Source organism: Homo sapiens, chromosome Y, assembly GCF_000001405.40.
Source record: "Homo sapiens chromosome Y, GRCh38.p14 Primary Assembly".
Taxonomy (NCBI): domain Eukaryota; kingdom Metazoa; phylum Chordata; class Mammalia; order Primates; family Hominidae; genus Homo; species Homo sapiens.
In genome coordinates this window covers 1,908,627-1,927,836 of record NC_000024.10, presented here as the reverse complement: position 1 = coordinate 1,927,836, position 19,210 = coordinate 1,908,627, and the positions used below count along the sequence as shown (strand labels likewise).

At 44.8% G+C, this 19,210-nt stretch overlaps 2 annotated features.

Annotated features, from left to right (window-relative positions):
* Window positions 2,264-2,972: an enhancer, noted in NCBI's record as "OCT4-NANOG-H3K27ac hESC enhancer chrY:1993758-1994466 (GRCh37/hg19 assembly coordinates)". NCBI's record gives its function as "activates a minimal SCP1, AML or CMV promoter by ChIP-STARR-seq in naive H9 embryonic stem cells {active_cell/tissue: H9 hESC(naive)}" and the evidence as "EXISTENCE:reporter gene assay evidence [ECO:0000049][PMID:30033119]".
* Window positions 10,358-10,858: an enhancer, noted in NCBI's record as "H3K4me1 hESC enhancer chrX:2035872-2036372 (GRCh37/hg19 assembly coordinates)". NCBI's record gives its function as "activates a minimal SCP1, AML or CMV promoter by ChIP-STARR-seq in naive H9 embryonic stem cells {active_cell/tissue: H9 hESC(naive)}" and the evidence as "EXISTENCE:reporter gene assay evidence [ECO:0000049][PMID:30033119]".

The window sequence follows — 19,210 nt, the reverse complement described above, 5'->3', positions numbered from 1 at the left end:
TGAGCCGAGATCGTGCCACCGCACTCCAGTCTGGGAGACAGAGTGAGACTCTATCCTAAAAAAAAAAAAAAGGAGAAAAAAGAAAACAACATGGTCCTCAGTTAGTCGGTGGCAGGACTGAATCTCCAGTGACCGCTCTTCTCTTACCCAGTAATGAAAATTTAGCCATCAGAGAGAGGTCAGAACTTCTCATACACCCAGAAGGCTGAGAATACCTTTATGCCTGTTCTCCCTCCTCGTCAGCGAGTATGTCAATTGCTGTTTCTAAATGTCTTGGAGATGTTTATATTACAGTTTTGCATTTTGTGACAAGTGCCGTGCAGCCTGCTTTTCACCGTGAACCTGGAAACCTACCCTTCTAACACGATTTATCAGGCCTGTTCATAACTGCTCACTCCACACCGTGTTTTAAACGCCCAGCATTGACTAGAAGCTCAGCCACGGAAATCAATTCTTTCCATCACGGTTCTGCCCTCCAATGATAGACAAGGCAGTTTTCCTGTACAAGTGCCGTGGATTTCTGCAAGATATAATTAATGCTTTGTCACTTTCTCCCCAGAAAGTTGCCTTTGTTTATTGCACTGCGAAATTGGAAGTTGGCAAAGGTGAAAGGTAGTTCTCCTGTGAGAATACATTGTGATTTTTTTTTTTTCCGTAAGAAATTTAAGATGACAGCCGGGCGTGGTGGATCATGCCTGTAATCCCAGCACTTTGGGAGGCTGAGGCGGGCGGATCCATTGAGGTTGGGAGTTCAAGACCAGCCTGGCCAACATGGTGAAACCCCATCTCTATCAAAAATATAAAAAATTACCCAGGTGTGGTGACGCACTCCTGTAATCCTGGCTACTCGGAAGGCTGAGGCAGGAGAATCGCTTGAACCCGGGAGGCAAAGGTTGCAGTGAGCCGAGATCGCACCATTGCATTCCAGCCTGAGTGACAGAGTGAGACTCCATCTCAAAAAAAAAAAAAAAAAAAAAAAGCACAAGGGAAGATGGGGGCGCACTCCTGTAATCCCAACTACTTGGAAGTCTGAGGCAGGAGAATCACTGGAACCTGGGAGGCAGAGGTTGCAGTGAGCCGAGATCACACCATTGCATTCCAGCTTGGGCGACAGAGTGAGACTCCATCTCAAAAAAAAAAAAAAGAAATTTAAGATGACAACTAAAGCTTTCCTAACAAGGAGTGACACTGTGAAGGCTATGGAGGCTATCCCACTATTTAAATGCAGGGAAGAGGTGGAGAAAAGGGAGAGGAAGCAAGGATCCCAGAAACACACATCAAGCAGACACGCCCAAGTTTAGAAATAGTCTGAAAAGGTTAACTTGCTTCGTTCCAAGAAAAACCTAAATGTACCTGGATTCAGAGAAGTTGTTTAGTCCATGAGATGAATTTTTTTTTTTTTGAGACAGAGTCTTGCTCTGTCTCCCAGGCTGGAGTGCAGTGGCATGATCTCAGCTCACTGCAACCTCTGCCTCCCAGGTTCAAGCGATTCTCTGGCCTCAGCCTCCCGAGTAGCTGGGATTACAGGCACGTGCTACCACACCCGGCTAATTTTTGTATTTTTAGTAAAGAAGGGCCACCATGTTGGCCAGGCTGGTCTCGAACTCCCAACCTCAGGTGATCCATCTGCTTGGCCTCCCGATGTGCTGGGATTATAGGCATGAGCCACCATGCCCGGACTAATTTTTGTATTTTTAGTAGAGATGGGGTTTCACCATGTTGGCCAGGCTGGTCTCGAACTCCCGACCTCAGGTGATCCACCTGCCTTGGCCTCCCAAAGTGCTGGGATTATAGGCGTGAGCCACCACGCCCGGGCTAATTATTGTATTTTTAGTAGAGATGGGGTTTCACCATGTTGGCCAGGCTGGTCTTGAACTCCTGATCTCAAGTGATCTCCCTGCCTCAGCCTCCCAAAGTGCTGGGATGACAGGCATGAGCCACCATGCCTGGCCAGAAGATGTGGGTTTCTGATCTGAATTTCCATTTTGACTTCATATACGCCATGGACAAATGTATCCCACTTTGATGACTATAAATTCCTTCTCTCATTTTCTTCTCACATCTTAGCAAGCCTTTCTTTTTTTTTTTTTTTTTTTTTTTTTCTAATTTTAACCCTTGTCTCTTTGAGCCAAATCAAATACATTAATTATTGGATCAAGGATAACTTTTATAAAAGGGTCTGGGACAAGGATTAACATTCCCCCTTTCTTGGCTGGTGTCTTTTGTCCTGAAATCTTACTTTGTCTCATTCATAGTAAAATAGGTTATTTTTCACACTCCTCTCTTCCTTTCGCAAACGCCAAAGCCGTAAATGCATTGAGATCAGAGGCTTCTCATTATTTGTAATTATCCCCTCAGCCGAATGCAAGAGGGCCCCGTGGGTAAGGCAGGGTGTTCACGAATACGCCGGCGTTTTCATCACCATCGATACCATCTCGGCTCTTTGCCCCTACTCCCCTGACGATTCTCGCTTCCCCCAGGATAATTACTGGCTTCTTACACTTGAACCCTTACTGCTCTCAGGAAAAGAATGTATCCCGTCCTCCTGGCGCACCGACATTCTTATTTTAAACAGCCGGGGACTGCCCGCCTCTCTCACTCTTTCCACCCTGCAGGATACCATTGTCATTTGCTAGCAGGGGAAACGCAACAATGTATCAGAGTCCAGATTCCAGAAACCCCAGATGCTCGGATTTGTGTTGAGGCCGCTCTGGGGACGTGACAGCACATTTTTGTTGTTGTTGTTGCTGACAGTTTTGTGCGTGATTTGCATCTCCCATCCTTTTTCTACCTGTGACTTCTCATCCAGGAGGCCAAGGGAATGGATGCATATTTCAACATTTCAACCTTTTTTTTTTTTTTTTTTTTAGTAAAAATGCATATATCGGCCGGGTGCGGTAGCTCACGCCTGTAATGCCAGCACTTTGGGAGGCTGAGGTGGGTGGATCCCTTGAGGTCAGGAGTTCGAGACCAGCCTGGCCAACATGGGGAAACCCTATTTCTACTAAAAATACAAAAATTAATCAGTTATGGTAGCACATGCCTGTAATCTCAGCACTTTAGGAGGGCAAGGCGGACAGATCACCGGATGTCAGGAGTTCAAGACCAGCCTGGCCAACATGGCAAAACCCTGTCCGTAGTAAAAATACAAAAATTAGGTGGTGTGGTGGTGGGTGCCTGTAACCCCAGGTACTTGGGAGGATGAGGCAGGAGAACGGCTTGAACCCAGGAGGCAGAGGTTGCACTGAGCCAAGATCACACCACTGTACTCCAGCCTGGGCAACAGAGTGAGACTCTGTCTCAAAAAAGAAGAAATAAGCTGGGCATGGTGGCTCACACCTGTAATCCCAGCACTTTGGAAGGTCAAGGTGGGTGGATTACGAGGTCAGGAGTTCAAGACCAGCCTGGCCAACACAGCAAAACTCTGTTCCTAGTAAAAATACAAAAATTAGCCAGATGTGGTGGCGGGCGCCTGTAACCCCAGCTACTCGGGAGGCTGAGGCAGGAGAATCGCTTGAACCCAGGAGGCAGAGGTTGCAGTGGGCCAAGATCATGCCACTGCACTCCAGCCTGGACGACACAGCAAGACTCCGTCTCAAAATACAAGAAATAGGCCGGGCGCAGTGGCTCACGCCTGTAATCCCAGCACTTCGGGAGGTCGAGGTGGGTGGATCATGAGGTCAGGAGTTCGAGACCAGCCTGGTCAACATGGCAAAACCCTGTCTCTAGTAAAAATACAAAAATTAGCCGGATGCGGTGGCGGGTGCCTGTAACCCCAACTACTCAGAAGGCTGAGGCAGGAGAATCACTTGAACCCAAGAGGCGGAGGTTGCAGTGAGCCAAGATCACGCCACTGCACTCCAGCCTGGGCAACAGAATGAGAGAGACTCCATCTCAAAAAAGAAGAAATAAATACAATACAAATTTAAAAAAAAATAAAAATGCATATGTCTTGATTATCAATGTCTGCATTTCATAGGTCACCTTAGCTGGGCTGTTTGTATTTTTTGTTTGTTTGTTTGTTTGAGATGGAGTTTTGCTCTTGTTGCCCAGGCTGGAGTGCAGTGGCGTGATCTCGGCTCACCACAACCTCCACCTGCCGGGTTCTGAACCCTGATACTGACAACAATGAATATATAAAGACACTCAAAGCTGCCGTTCTCTGCTGATAATGCTGGCTGTCATTATATTCCCATCAGCTGAAGATGATTTTATGACGTCCGAGGAAGCCCCCGGCCCTGAATGAGTAAATTCCTCCTGCGGTGACATTTAAAATTCCATTTCCCGTTATTCATGTTTTACCGAGGGGGCAAAGCCTCGCTCTGTCCTCGACTTCAGAAGCCACTGTTGGTCTCCTTCCTTTGGAAAATTTAATTTTTAAGGGACAAACAATGATTGCATGTATTTGTAGGGTACAGTGTGAAATTTTGATATATGTACACATCATGGGATAATTGCATGAAGCCAATTAACATATCCCTCACCTCACCTACTTTTCTTTTGTGTGTGTGTGTGTGGGTGGTGCACGCATTTAAAATCCTACGTTTAGGCTGGCGCGGTGGCTCACGCCTGTAATCCCAGCACTTTGGGAGGCCGAGGCAGGCAGATCACGAGGTCAGGAGATCGAGACCATCCTGGCTAACACGGTGAAACCCCATCTCTACTAAATAAAAAAATTAGCCGGGCGTGGTGGCGGGTGCCTGTAGTCCCAGCTACTCGGGAGGCTGAGGCAGGAGAATGGCGTGAACCCGGGAGGCGGAGCTTGCAGTGAGCTGAGATCGCACCACTGCACTCCAGCCTGGGCGACAGAGCGAGACTCCCTCTCAAAAAAAAAAAAATGAAAGAAAGAAAGAAAAAAGAAAAAAAATATCATCTGTTTATTGCAGGACTGTTCACAATAGCAAATACATAGAATCAACCCAAGAGTCCATCAACACGTGAATGGGGCTGGGCGCGGTGGTTCACGCCTGTCACCCCACCACTTTGGGAGGCCGAAGTGGGCGGATGACTTGAGGTCAGGAGTTCGAGACCAGCCTGACCAACATGGTGAAACCCCATCCCTACTAAAAATACAAAAATTAGCCAGATGTGGTGGTGGGCACATGTAGTCCCAGATACTCCAGGCTGAGGCAGGAGAATCGCTTGAAACTGGGAGACGGAGGCTGCAGTGAGTCGAGATCGCGCCACTGCACTCCAGCCTGGGTCACAGAGTGAGACTCTGTCTCAAAAAAAAAAAAAAAAAAAAAAAAGGAAAGATTATAGGATAAGGACCTGGCACGGTGGCTCACGCCTGTAATCCCAGCACTTTGGGAGGCTGAGGTGGGTGGATCACCTGAGGTCAGGAGTTCGAGACCAGCCTGGCCAACACAGTGAAAGCCTGTCCCTACTAAAAATACAAAACTTAGCTGGGCGTGGTGGCAGGTGCCTGTAATCCCAGGTACTCTGGAGGCTGAGGCAGGAGAATCACTTGAACCTGAGAGGCAGAGGCTGTAGTGAGCCGAGATCATGCCACTGCACTCCAGCCTGGGGTGACAGAGGGAGATTCCTTCTCAAAACAACAACAACAAAACAGATGACTGGAGAAGGAAAACGTAGGGTATAAACAAAGGGGAAAACTCTTGAGCTGTAAGAGTGAAGGAAATCCTGTTGGCTGCTGCAACATGGATGGAATCAGAGGCCATTATGTCAAGAGAAAGAAGCCAGGCACAGAAAGACCAATATCGCACGTTCTCACTCCTAGGTAAGTGCTAAACACTTAGGGGGAAAAATAGATAACAGAGCCCGAGAAGGGTGAGAGAGACGGAGGGAGGAGGATGCAGAGAGGTGGGTTAAAGGCTGCACACATACATTAAGATACGAGGAATGGCCAGGTGCGGTGGCTCACGCCTGTCATCCCAGCACTTTGGGAGGCCGAGGCAGGCGGATCACCTGAGGTCAGGAGTTTGAGACCATCCTGGCCAACATGGTGAAACCCCATCTCTACTAAAAATACAAAAATTAGCGGGGTGTGGTGGTGGGCGCCTGCAGTCCCAGCTACTCAGGAGGCTGAGGAAGCAGAATCGCTTGAATCCGGGAGGCGGAGGTTGCAGTGAGCCGAGATCGCGCCACTGCACTCTAGCCTGGGTGACGGAGGGAGACTCCATCTAAAAAAAAAAAAAAAATAGATACAAGGAATACATTTGGGGTTCCATAGCAGAATAAGGTGTATAGACTTAACACAAAAATACTGTATTCAGGTGATGGATGCCCTGAATACCTAGATCACTACACGTTTTATACATGTAACAAAATTTCTCATGGAACCCCTAAATTTGTACAAAACAAGAAAACACAAAAGCATACCAAAATAAAAAAACTCTACTCTCAACAATTTTGCAATGCACAGTACTTTATTATTAACAAAAATAAAAATAAAATCTACTCTGAACAATTTTGAAAGGCACAGTACCTTATTATTAATTAACAAAAATAAAAATCTACTCTGAACAATTTTGAAAGGTACAATACTTTATTATTAAACAAAAATAAAAATAAAATCTCTGAACAATTTTGAAATGCACCGTACTTTATTATTAAAAACAATAATGAAACCGACCCTGAACAATTTTGCAATGCACAATAATTTATTATTAACAAAAATAAATTAAAAATAAAACCTATACTGAACGATTTTGAAATGCACAGTACTTTATTATTAAAAATATATATATAAAACCTACTGTGAACATTTTTTTTTTTGAGATGGAGTCTCACTCTGTGGCCCAGGTTGGAGTGCAGTTGCACTATCTCGGCTCAGTACAACCTCCGCCTCCCGAGCTCAAGCGACTCTCCTGCCTCCACCTCCCGAGTAGGTGGGATTACAGGCACCCACCACCACACCCAGCTAATTTTTGTATTTTTAGTAGATATGGGGTTTCACTGTGTTGGCCAGGCTGGTCTCGAACTCCTGACCTCAGGCGATCCACTCACCTTGGCCTCCCAAAGTTCTGGGATTACAGGCATGAGCCATCTCGCCTGGCCTTACTCTGAACAATTTTGAAATGCACAGTGATTTATTATTAACAAAAATAAAATTAAAACCTATATTGAACAATTTTGAAACGCACAGTACTTTATTATTAACAAAAATAAAACTAAAAATAAAATCTACTCTGAGCTATTTTGAAATGCACAGTACTTTAGTATTAAAAATATATATAAAACGTATTGTGAACAATTTTTTTTTTTTTTGAGACAGAGTCTTACTCTGTCACCCAGGCTGGAGTGCAGTGGCGTGATTTGGGCTCACTGCAACCTCCATCTCCCGGGCTCAAGCGAGTCTCGTGCATCAGCCTCCCTAGTACATGGGATTACAGGTGAAGCACCACCACACCCAGCTAATTTTTGTATTTTTAGTAGAGACAGGGTTTCACCACGTTGGCCAGGCTGGTCTTGAACTCCTGACCTCAGATAATCCAAAGTGCTGGGATTACAGGCATGAGCCAGCGCGTCTGGCCCTACACTGAACAATTTTGAAATGCACAGTGTTTTATTATTAATTAACAAAAATAAAAATAAAACCTACTCTGAACAATTTTGAAATGCACAGTACTTTATTATAAATTAACAAAAATAAAAATAACCTATACTGAACAATGCTGAAACGCACAGTGGTTTATTATTAATTAACAAAAATAAAACCTACTCGGAACAATTTTGAAATGCACAGTGCTTTATTATTAATTAACAAAAATAAAACCTACTCGGAACAATTTGGAAATGCAGTGTTTTATTATTAATTATGTCACCGTGCTGTGCAATAGTTGTGCAGACCTTATTCCTCCTGTCTAACCAAAACTGAATTATCTGACCAACATCTCTCCCCGTGACCTCCACTAGTCTCTGCTACCCACCCTTCTACTCTGCTTCTGTGAGTTTGACTTTTTTAGATTCCACATAGCAGTGAGACCATGTGCTCTTCATCTTTCTCTCTTTCGTGTGTGTGTGTGTGTGTGTGTGTGTGTGTGTGTGTGTGTGTGTTTTTCCCAAGATGGGGTCTTGCTCTGTCACCCAGGCTGGAGTGCAGTGGCATGATCTGGGCTCACTGCAACCTCCGCCTCCCAGGTTCAAGTGCTTCTCCTGCCTCATCCTCCCAAACAGTTGGAATTACAGGCGCGCGCCACCACGCCCAGCTAATTTTTTGCATTTTCAATAGAGACAGGTTTTCACCATGTTGGCAGTACAGTGGTGCAATCTCGGCTCACTACAGCCTCTTCCTCCCAGGTTCAAGCGATTCTCCTGCCTCAGCCTCCCAAAGATCTGGGATTACAGGTGCGCGCCACCACGCCCAGCTAATTTTTTTGTATTTTCAGTAGAGATGGGGGTTTCACCATGTTGCCCAGGCTGGTCTCCAACTCCTGACCTCAAGTGATCTGCCCGCCTCGGCCTCCTCAAAGTGCTGGGATTACAGGCGTGAGCCACCACGCCTGCCTCTCTCTTTCTTAAGTTGACAGAAGAGGATTGATTTGGCCCAAGTACAAGAGTCACCATGTTGGTCAGGCTGGTCTCAAACTCCCGACCTCAGGTGATCCGCCTGCCTGAGCCTCCCAAAGTGCTGGGATTACAAGCGTGAGCCACCACGACTGGCCTCTGTGTAATTTCTTGCTAACACGGTGAAACCCCGTCTGTACTAAAAGTAGAAAAATTAGCCTGGCATGGTGGCGCACACCTGTTATCCCAGCTACCTGGGAGGCTGAGGCAGGACAATTGCTTGAACCAGAGAGGTGGAGCTTGCAGTGAGCCAAGATCGCACCATTGCACTCCAGCCTGGGCGGCGGAGTGAAACTCCATCTCAAAAAATAAATAAATAAATAAATAAATAAATAAATAAATAAATAATAAATGACAGAAAAAGAAAAAAGAAATTATTTAGGTGGATAGTTAGGGTGAAAGGGCCCCCGGCAAAAAGTTTCCTTCTAGCAAAAAGCAGCTCGTGGCCACGGTGGCTCATGTCTGTAATCCTAGCACTTTGGAAGGCCAAACTCCATCTCTAATAAAATGCAAAAAAAAAAAAAAAAAAAAATTAGCTGTGTGTGATGGCGGGTACCTGTAATCCCATCTACTCAGGAGGCTGAGACAGGAAAATCGGTTGAACCCGGGAGGCGGAGGTTGCAGTGAGCCGAGACTGTGCCACTGCAATCTAGCCTGGGCGACAGAGCGAGACTCCATCTAAAAAAAAAAAAGGCAGCTTGAGAAATTGCTTCCTTTCTAACCACACGCCACTCAAAGAAATCACTTCTCTTCTAACAAAGAGCAGCCTGGAAGATGGAGCCGTAAGTTACAGAAAAGCAGGTCCAGCACAGACCTGTTCGAGACCAGCCTGACCAACATGGTGAAACCCCGTCTGTACTAAAAGTAGAAAAATTAGCCTGGCATGGTGGCACGCACCTGCAATCCCAGCTACTTGGAAGGCTGAGGCAGGAGAATCGCTTGAACCCAAGAAGCGGAGGTTGCAGTGAGCCAAGATCGCACCGTTGCACTCCAGCCTGGGCGACAGAGCGAGTCTCCATCTCAAAAAATAATAAGAAAAGAAAAGAAAAAGAAAAAAATTATTTAGGTGGATAGTTAGGCTCTCATTTCCTAGGTCATCACCAAACTTCACCTATGTACTACAGGTCCCAGTAAAGACAGGGGGCCTGACTGAGCACATTTCTTTCCATTTTTTGGACACACTCAGGTAGGAAAAATCTAAGACAGAGCTCACCGAGATAGGGAAAGTAGGAAAACCTACTCTGAGCAATTCTGAAATGCACAGTGCTTTATTATTCATAAATAAAAATAATGGTAAGCCTATTCCTTTCCCTTTTTCGGGTACATGAAGATAGGGAGGTTGGCATGGGTTGGCAGGGGGATGCCTGGCAGCTGCAAGGAGGTACCAGGGGCCAGGCACGGAAACTCCCCCTCCCCTTTTTAGCACACGGTGGAAGGAGATAGTCAACGTGGAGTAGCTCAAGCTACGAAGATGCCTGTGTGATGAAAGAGTGGGGTGGGGAGACTCAGCCGTATGCACAGACTCAGCCCTATGCAGATGGCACACCTGGTCCTAACCGGTTTTTTGTGCCCTATGTAGCTAAGATACCTCCTGCCCACTAGCTCATTTATAAAAACCCTTACATTTTACTGCGGTACGGCCCCCCCCCTTCTTTTTCTTTTGCCTGCACTCTGCTCCCTTAGAAACGCAGGTGGTTTTTTGTTTCATTTATTTATTTATTTAATTTTTTTGAGATGGAGTCTCGCTCTTGTTGTCCAGGCTGGAGTGCAGGGTCGCGATTTCGGCTCATCGCAACCTCCGCCTCCTGGGTTCAAGCGATTCTCCTGCCTCAGCCTGCGGAGTAGCTGGGATTACAGGCACCCACCACCACGCCTGGCTAGTTTTGTGTTTTTAGCAGAGACGGGGTTTTTCCATATTGGCCAGGATGGTCTCGAACTCCCAACTTCAGGGGATCCGCCCGCCTCGGCCTCCCAAAGTGCTGGGATTATAGGCATGAGCCACCGCGCCTCTGCCTCCCAGGCTCAACTGATCCTCCTGCCTCAGCGCCTTGAGTAGCTGGGATTTACAGGCTCATGCCACCACGCCTGGCGAATTTTTTTTTGTTTTTTGTATTTTAGTAAAGATGGAGTTTTGCCATGACTGGTCTCGAACTCCTCAGCTCAGACAATCTGCCCACCTCAGCCTCCCAAAGTGCTAAGATTACAGGTGTGAGCCACCGCGCCCGGCCTGTAACCTCACTCTTAGTGCATCCAAGTCCTTGATTTCCGTGGCTGTGAGACAAAGAAATTCTGGTGATATCACAGACTATTTCTCTTCTATTTCATAGAACAGACTATTTCTAGTCTATTTCGTAGAACAGACTATTTCTAGTCTATTTCGTAGAACAGACTATTTCTAGTCTATTTCGTAGAACAGACTATTTCTAGTCTATTTCGTAGAACAGACTATTTCTAGTCTATTTCGTAGAACAGACTATTTCTAGTCTATTTCGTAGAAGAGACTAGACTATTTCTCTTCTATTTCGTAGAACAGACTATTTCTAGTCTATTTCGTAGAACAGACTAGGCTATTTCTAGTCTATTTCGTAGAACAGACTAGGCTATTTCTACTCTATTTCGTAGAACAGACTAGGCTATTTCTAGTCTATTTCGTAGAACAGACTAGGCTATTTCTAGTCTATTTCGTAGAACAGACTAGGCTATTTCTAGTCTATTTCGGAGAACAGACTATTTCTAGTCTATTTCGTAGAACAGACTAGGCTATTTCTAGTCTATTTCGTAGAACAGACTAGGCTATTTCTAGTCTATTTCGTAGAACAGACTATTTCTAGTCTATTTCGTAGAACAGACTAGGCTATTTCTAGTCTATTTCGTAGACTAGACTATTTCTAGTCTATTTCGTAGAACAGACTAGGCTATTTCTAGTCTATTTCGTAGACTAGACTAATTCTCGTCTATTTCGTAGAACAGACTAATTCTCATCTATTCTACCGAGCACAGCATGTGCTAGTGAGTTTTTCACCCCTTTACTCCTCCCTCTCGTACTCTCCAGTGCAATGCCCTCATCTTGATGTTGATGGCCCACGGTTTCCATCCCACTCATACATGAGAACATGCAGTATTTGGCTTTCTGTTCCACCCTTAGTTCACTTAGGACTGTGGCCTCTGACTTCATCCGTGTTGCTACAAAAGACATGTGTTTTTTTGTTTGTTTGTTTTGTTTTTGAGATGGAGTCTCGCTCTGTCACCCAGGCTGGAGTGCAGTGGTGCGATCTCAGCTTACTGCAACCTCCACCTCTCAGGTTCAAGTGATTCTCCTGCCTCAGCCTCCCGAGTAGCTGAGATTACAGGCACGTGCCACCACACCTGGCTAATTTTTGTATTTTTAGTAGAGATGGGGTTTCACCATATTGGCCAGGCTGGTCTAGAACTCCTGACCTCGTGGTCCGTCCGCATCGGCCTCCCGAAGTGCTGGGATTACAGGTGTGAGCCACCATGCCCGGCCATGTTTTTATTCTTTCTTATGGCTGCAAAGTACCCTATGGTGCAGATATAGCCCCTTTTCTTTATCCAGTCCACCATGGATGGGTACCTGTGTCGATGCCACCTCTTTGCTGTTGTGACTGGTGCTGTGATGAACATATAGGTGCATGTGTCTTTGTGATAGGACAATATCTCCAGGAATGGGATTGCTGGGTGACATAGTAGTTCTGTTTTTTTCTTTTTTGTTTTTGTTTGGAGACAAGAGTTTTGCTCTTGTCCCCCAGGCTGGAGTGCAGTGGCGCGATCTCGGCTCACTGCAACCTCTGCCTCCCAGGTTCAAGTGATTCTCCTGCTTCAGCCTCCCGGGTAGCTGGGCTTACAGGCACCTGCCACCACACCCAGCTAATTTTTGAATTTTTGGTAGAGATGGTGTTTCAGCATTTTGGCCAGGCTGGTCTCGAACTCCCAACCTCAGGTGATCCTCCCGCCTCCGCCTCCCAAAGTGCTGGGATTACAGGCGTGATCCACCGTGCCCAGCCTCTGTTTTAATTTCCTCGAGAAATCTCTAAACAGTTGGAAGACAATTGCAAATGTTTCACAAGTCCCCCGCACCGCCACCAGGCAGAGTCTGCTGGCGACAAAAATCACCATGCCTGCCACAAATATTCTGCCCATTTCTCACCTGCGGATGGTCCCTCCTCCTCACCTGCCCCTCCTTAGAACAAGAGCAATAACAGGCGGCAAGGGACTTCCAGTGGTTTACACGCCCGTGTGATGCTGTGAATAGATTCTGACAAACTCAACTGGGGCAGGCAACTGGGGAAGATCCTCGGTGACTTAACTTGCTAACGATGGAAGACGGCTGGATCCTTTCAGCTACACTCCCTCCATCCACGGAGGTTCAAGATCCCAGGAGTGTTCAAGATCCCAGCAGCTCCAGCTCTCACGCTCAAGCTCAGCCAATGCAAAGGCCTCCCTTTCAGCATAAAAGGCTTCTGCCCAGGGAGATACAGCGTCTCGACCCCCACAAGAGGAAGCAGGTGACCTGGGAACTCATGACTTGTGGGATGAGTTCACCGGGGCTACCACAACGCAGTAACATCAACAGGGTGACGTGAACCATAGCAATGCATTTTCTCACAACGCTGGGGGCCAGAAGGTTGTTTTATAATCCTCCTCCTCTGACAATGCTGGGAGCCAGGGGTGCCAGATCAAGGTGCTGGCAGGGTTCATTCCTTCTGAGGGCTTTTTATAGTAAAACAATTTTTATTTGCTATTCAGTTATTATTCACTATGTTTATACATCTTTATACCTTTGTAAATATTTTTATTTAGTTTACATATATTTCATATATTTATGATGTTTTTATTTCTTCATTTATTTTGTTTATATATTTTTATAGATTTATATGACAACTTATATGTATTTTTATATATTTATAATTATTTTTATTTAGTTTATATAGTTTTATAGATTTATATTAGTTAGCTCATATGTATTTTTATGTATTTATCATTTTTACTTATTTATTTTGTTCATATATATTTATAGATTTATACATATTTTTATTTATTGAGCTTATAAAAATTTATATATAGTTTTAATTATTTTTATTTAGTTGATGTATATTTTTATTTTATTTTATGTTATTTATTTATTTATTTTTTGAGACGGAGTGTCACTCTGTCGCCCAGGCTGGAGTGCAGTGGTGCGATCTCGGCTCACTGCTAGCTCGGCCTCCCGGGTTCACGCCATTCTCCTGCCTCAGCCTCCCGAGTAGCTGGGACTACAGGCACCTGCCACTACACCCTACTAATTTTTTGTATTATTAGTAGAGACGGGGTTTCACCATGGTCTCGATCTCCTGACCTCGTGATCCGCCCACCTCGGCCTCCCAAAGTGCTAGGATTACAGGCGTGAGTCACCGCGCCCAGCCATACTTTTATAGATTTATAAATATTTTAATTTATTTTGTTTATATAAATTGTTATATATTTATAATTATTCATTTTGTTTATATAAATTGTTATATACTTATAATTATTTTTATTTAGTTAGTTTCTATATTTTTCACATCTTTATTTTCATATATATTTTTATATCTATTTTTATTTAGTTTCTATATTTTAATATATTTGTAATTATTTTTATTTATTTTGTTTCTGTGTATTATATATTGATAATTATTTCTTATTATTTAGTTTATATTTTTATATATTCATAATTATTTTAATTTATTTGTATATTTATAATTATTTATATATTTAAATATATTTGTTATTCATTGTATTTATTCATTTTGTTTATGCATATTTGCATATTTACACTTGTTTTTATTTATTTTGTTGATATCTTTTTATATATTCACAAGTATTTTTATTAGCCATTTAGTTTATAGGATTTTATATATGAGAGTTATTTTTATGTAGTTATTTCATTTATCTATTGAAGCTAACTTGGGAGAAGCTGGAATTCCTATAGAGGAGAATGGGATGGAAGCGATAATCACAGAAATGGCAGGAGATAACAGCTGTGAGTCAAACACATTTTCCGAAAAATGGCTGCCTTCTGGGTTCTCAGTGAAAATGTAAAAGAGAATCAATTCTAGACATATTCTGGGGGAATGTCAAACAAGAAAAAATAAAGAACATGCTGAGATTTTTTTTTTAAAAAAAGGTAGAACCTATACCGTTTATACGTTTTCACTTCATTTCGGCCACAAGAAATGACATAGTAATATTGAGTAGTCAATACTGATGGAAAAAAAAAAATCCTTCTCAAGAATTCTCCCTGAGATCATGGTAGAATTATATATATATATATATATTTTTTTTTTTTCAAAATACTGTTAAAATACTTTTAAATATAGTTGATTCCATTAACTATATTTCACTTGGTAATTGTCACATGCTGCAAACCCAAGGGATACACAGGAGACTATTTTCTTTTTTAATTTATTTTTATTTTTTATTTTTTAAGATGGAGTTTTGCTCTTGTCGCCCAGGCTGGAGTGCAATGGTAGGATCTCGGCTCCCTGCAACCTCCGCCCGCCGGGTTCAAGCGATTCTCATGCCTCAGCCTCCTGAGTAGCTGGGACTACAGGCGCCCGCCACCACGCCTGGCTAATTTTTGTATTTTTAGTAGAGACGGGGTTTCACCATGTTGGCCAGGCTGGTCTCAAACTCCCGAACTAAGGTGATCCGCCCGCCTCAGCCTCCCAAAGTGCTGGGATGACAGGCGTGATCCACTGTGCCCGGCCAGGAAACTACTTTCTAAGTAAGTGAATGAATTTTGAGTGGAATGGTCTAATCCTCTAAATCAAACCGTTTTTGTCATGGTTGATTTCTGCCTTCAGAGTGGTTAGGAAAGTGTAAAGAGGGCTGATTGTCAACAGGCACTTCAACATGCCTGAAACACGGAAAGTCAAACAGGTTATGATTGTTAAAAGTCTTGCAAAACTCAGAGCATAGCTAGCTCAGCCCTCTCGTCGGCTCTATCAAGCCACACAACAGGAACAAAATATCTTTAATAGGATTTTCTAAATACGTCCAAATCACGTGCATATTCCTCTCTGAGAGATGAAACCTCTATGAGTTTAATTTGTTTGATATTTTTCCTACGTAGACTACGGCCCTCTAATTAGGAAGAACGTCTTTTGCCACATTGCAGTTTAAACTGGGAGACTTTATAAATAATTAAAATATTTTCTAAAATTTCCCCAGTGGATATATGCTACCAAGAGTAACGTCCAGTTGGGAAGGAGACCTACCTAAGAAGAGATATTTGGAGAATTATTTTATGTATCTGCTGAAATGTTTATCACTTATATTTTGTTCCGGTTAGTTCCTATCAGTAGTTGGCTACTCAGTATTGCTGTGTCATTTCTTGTGGTTGGAATGAAGTCAAAACGGTATAGGTTCTGTCGTTGCTGCTGGTGTTGTTTTTAAATCTCAGCATAAACACTTCTTTATTTCTTTCTTGTTTGACATTCTATCAGAATATGTCTGGAATTGATTCTGTTTTAAAAAGCATGGGTGAATACAGTCCTGGGGAGTGTGTGTGTGTGTGTGTGTGTCTGTGTGTGTGTGAGAGAGAGAGAGAGAAGGAGAGAGAGGAAGAGAGAGGAGGGAGGAGAGAGAGACAGAGGAAGAGAGGAAGAAAGGAAGAGAGGAAGGGAGAAAGAAAGATAAAGGAAGAGAGGGAGGAAGACAGACAAGAAGACAGTAAGGGGAAGAGAGGGAAGAAGAGAATGAGAGAGAGAGGGACGGAGAAAGAGAGGAAGAGGGAGAGAGAGAGAGGAAGAAAGGCAGAGAGGGAAGGAGAGAGAGGGAGGAAGAGAGACAGGAAGGGGAAGAGAGAGAAGAGAATGAGAGAGAGACAGAGAAGGAGAAAGAAAGAGAATAAGGGGGAGACAGAGACAGAGAGAGGAAGAAAGACAGAGAAGGAGGAAGAGAGAGGAAGAGAGGCAGGAAGGGGGGAGAGAGAAGAAGAGAATGAGAGAGAGACAGAGAGGGAAGAAGGAAGAGAGGGAGGAAGAGAGAGGAAGAGAGGCAGGAAGAGGGGGAGAGAGAAGAAGAGAATGAGAGAGAGACAGAGAGGGAAGAAGGAAGAGAGGGAGGAAGAGAGAGGAAGAGAGGCAGGAAGAGGGGGAGAGAGAAGAAGAGAATGAGAGAGAGACAGAGAGGGAAGAAGGAAGAGAGGGAGGAAGAGAGAGGAAGAGAGGCAGGAAGGGGGGAGAGAGAAGAAGAGAATGAGAGAGAGACAGAGAGGGAAGAAGGAAGAGAGGGAGGAAGAGAGAGGAAGAGAGGCAGGAAGAGGGGGAGAGAGAAGAAGAGAATGAGAGAGAGACAGAGAGGGAAGAAGGAAGAGAGGGAGGAAGAGAGAGGAAGAGAGGCAGGAAGGGGGGAGAGAGAAGAAGAGAATGAGAGAGAGACAGAGAGGGAAGAAGGAAGAGAGGGAGGAAGAGAGAGGAAGAGAGGCAGGAAGAGGGGGAGAGAGAAGAAGAGAATGAGAGAGAGACAGAGAGGGAGGAAGGAAGAGAGAGAGGAAGAGGGAGAGACAGACAGAGGAAGAGAGGAAGAAAGACAGAGAAGGAGGAAGAGAGAGGAAGAGAGGGAGGAAGAGGGAGGAAGAGAGAGGAAGAGAGGCAGGAAGAGGGAGGAAGAGAGGAAGAGAGGCAGGAAGAGGGGGAGAGAGAAGAAGAGAAAGAGAGACAGGGAGGAAGGAAGAGAGGAAGAGGGAGAGACAGACAGAGGAAGAGAGGAAGAAAGAGAGGGAAGGAGAGGGAGAGAGGAAGAGAGAGGGAGGAAGAGACAGAGGAAGAGAGAAAAGAAGGGCAAAAGAGAGAAGAAGAGAATGAGAGAGACAGAGAGGGAGGGAGAAAGTGAGGAAGGGGGAGAGAGAGACAGAGAGAGGAAGAGAGGAAGAAAGAGAAGGAAAGAGACGAAGAGACAGAGGAAGAAAAGGAAGGAGAGAGAGAGGAAGAGACGGAGGAAGAGAGAGGGAGGAAGAGAAACAGGAAGAGGGAGAGAGAAGAGAGTGAGAGAGAGACAGAGAGGGAGGGAGGAAGAGAGAGAGGAAGGGAGAGAGAGAGAGGAAGAAAGGCAGAGAGGGAGGAAGAAAGAGAGAGAGGGAGGAGGAGAGACAGAAAGCCAGGAAGAGAGAGAGGCAGAGGACTGAGAGAGAGGAAGACTAGGAGGAGAGAGAGAAGAGGGATAGAGGAAATCAGAGAGAGTGGGAGAAAGAGAGAGTGGGAGAAAGAGGGAGGAAGAGAGAGGCAGAGAGAGAAAGAGACAGGAAGACACACACACACACACACACACAGGTGCATTCCACAAGCTACTTAGTGGAAAAGCAGATTCCTAACTTGTGTCCAGTCCTGCACATTTAGGGGCTATGAAAGGCTATTTCCGGCTGTCGTGCTATGTCTGTGCTCTCTTCGTCTTGGGCGTCCTGCAACAGAGAATCAACTGAGGTCCCTTCTTCAAATGCCCTCGCCTGAGTCTACATAAGGCTGAGGCCCAGGAGGGAGGGGGCTGCACTTGGGACCACTGGGAGGCCATTTGCTCCTGAGCCAGGGATGCAAGCGGAGCAGGTGAGTCGGTGCGGGGACCCTTTGCTGAGCGTGAAGCCTCAGGGAATTGCAAATGAAAGTCAGTCCCCCGTGAGAAAAGGAAGCAATAGTTCTAGCAGTGGCTTTAGTAATGAGGTAGTTGACGAGCTGTAGTAAGAGCATTAATTGCAGAAGTAGCACAGTAGAACTGGTAGTAGCAATAGTCCTGGCAGTGGTGGTAGTACTAATTGTTGAAGTAATAGTAACTATAGCAATGGCTGTATTAGTGGTGGTAGCAGTCCCAACAGTCCCGTATATAGTCCTTGGCGAGCATCTGGAGCTGCTGTACACATGCATTCCGTATATGAACTCACCTAATCCACTCAGTGACTTTGTTTTTTGTTTTTGTTTTTTTTCTAAGACGGAGTCTTGCTGGGTTGCCCAGGCTGGAGTGCAGTAACAAGATCTTGGCTCTCTGCAACCTCCGCCTCCTGGGTTCAACCAATTCTCCTGCCTCAGCCTCCCGAATAGCTGGGACTACAGGCGGATGCCACCAAAGCTGGCTAATTTTTGTATTTTCAGTAGAGACGGGGTTTCGCCATGTTGTTCAGGCTGGTGTCGAACTCCTGACCTCAGGTGATCCACCTGCCTCGGCCTCCCAAAGTGGTGGGATGACAGGCGTGAGCCACGGCGACCGGCCTAATCCCTGTTTTCATTTAAGCCTTCTGGGTTTGGTGTCATGCTCCCCCTGTGTTTCTGGAAGTCTTCTGAGATAACTGCAGAGTTTATGTAAATATAGATGTTACTCACCATGTGTTTCTTTCTGGAAGTCTTCTGAGATAATTGCAGAGTTTATTTAAATACAGACGTTAGTCAGCATTGGAAGGTATAGCGGGTTGAAGAGTATTTCTCCCAAATTGACATCCACCCAGAACCTCAGAATGAGATCTTATTTGGAAATAGGGTCATAGCTGATGGAATTAGTTGAGATGAGATCATCTTGGGTTAGAATGGGTCCTGAATGCAGAAGTATCCTCCCCTAGAGCCTCCAGAGGGAACTGAATGGCGACCCCCAAAATATGTTGATGTCCTGTTCTCCAGAACCTGTGAATGGAACCGTATTTGGAAATAAGGTCTTTGCAGAT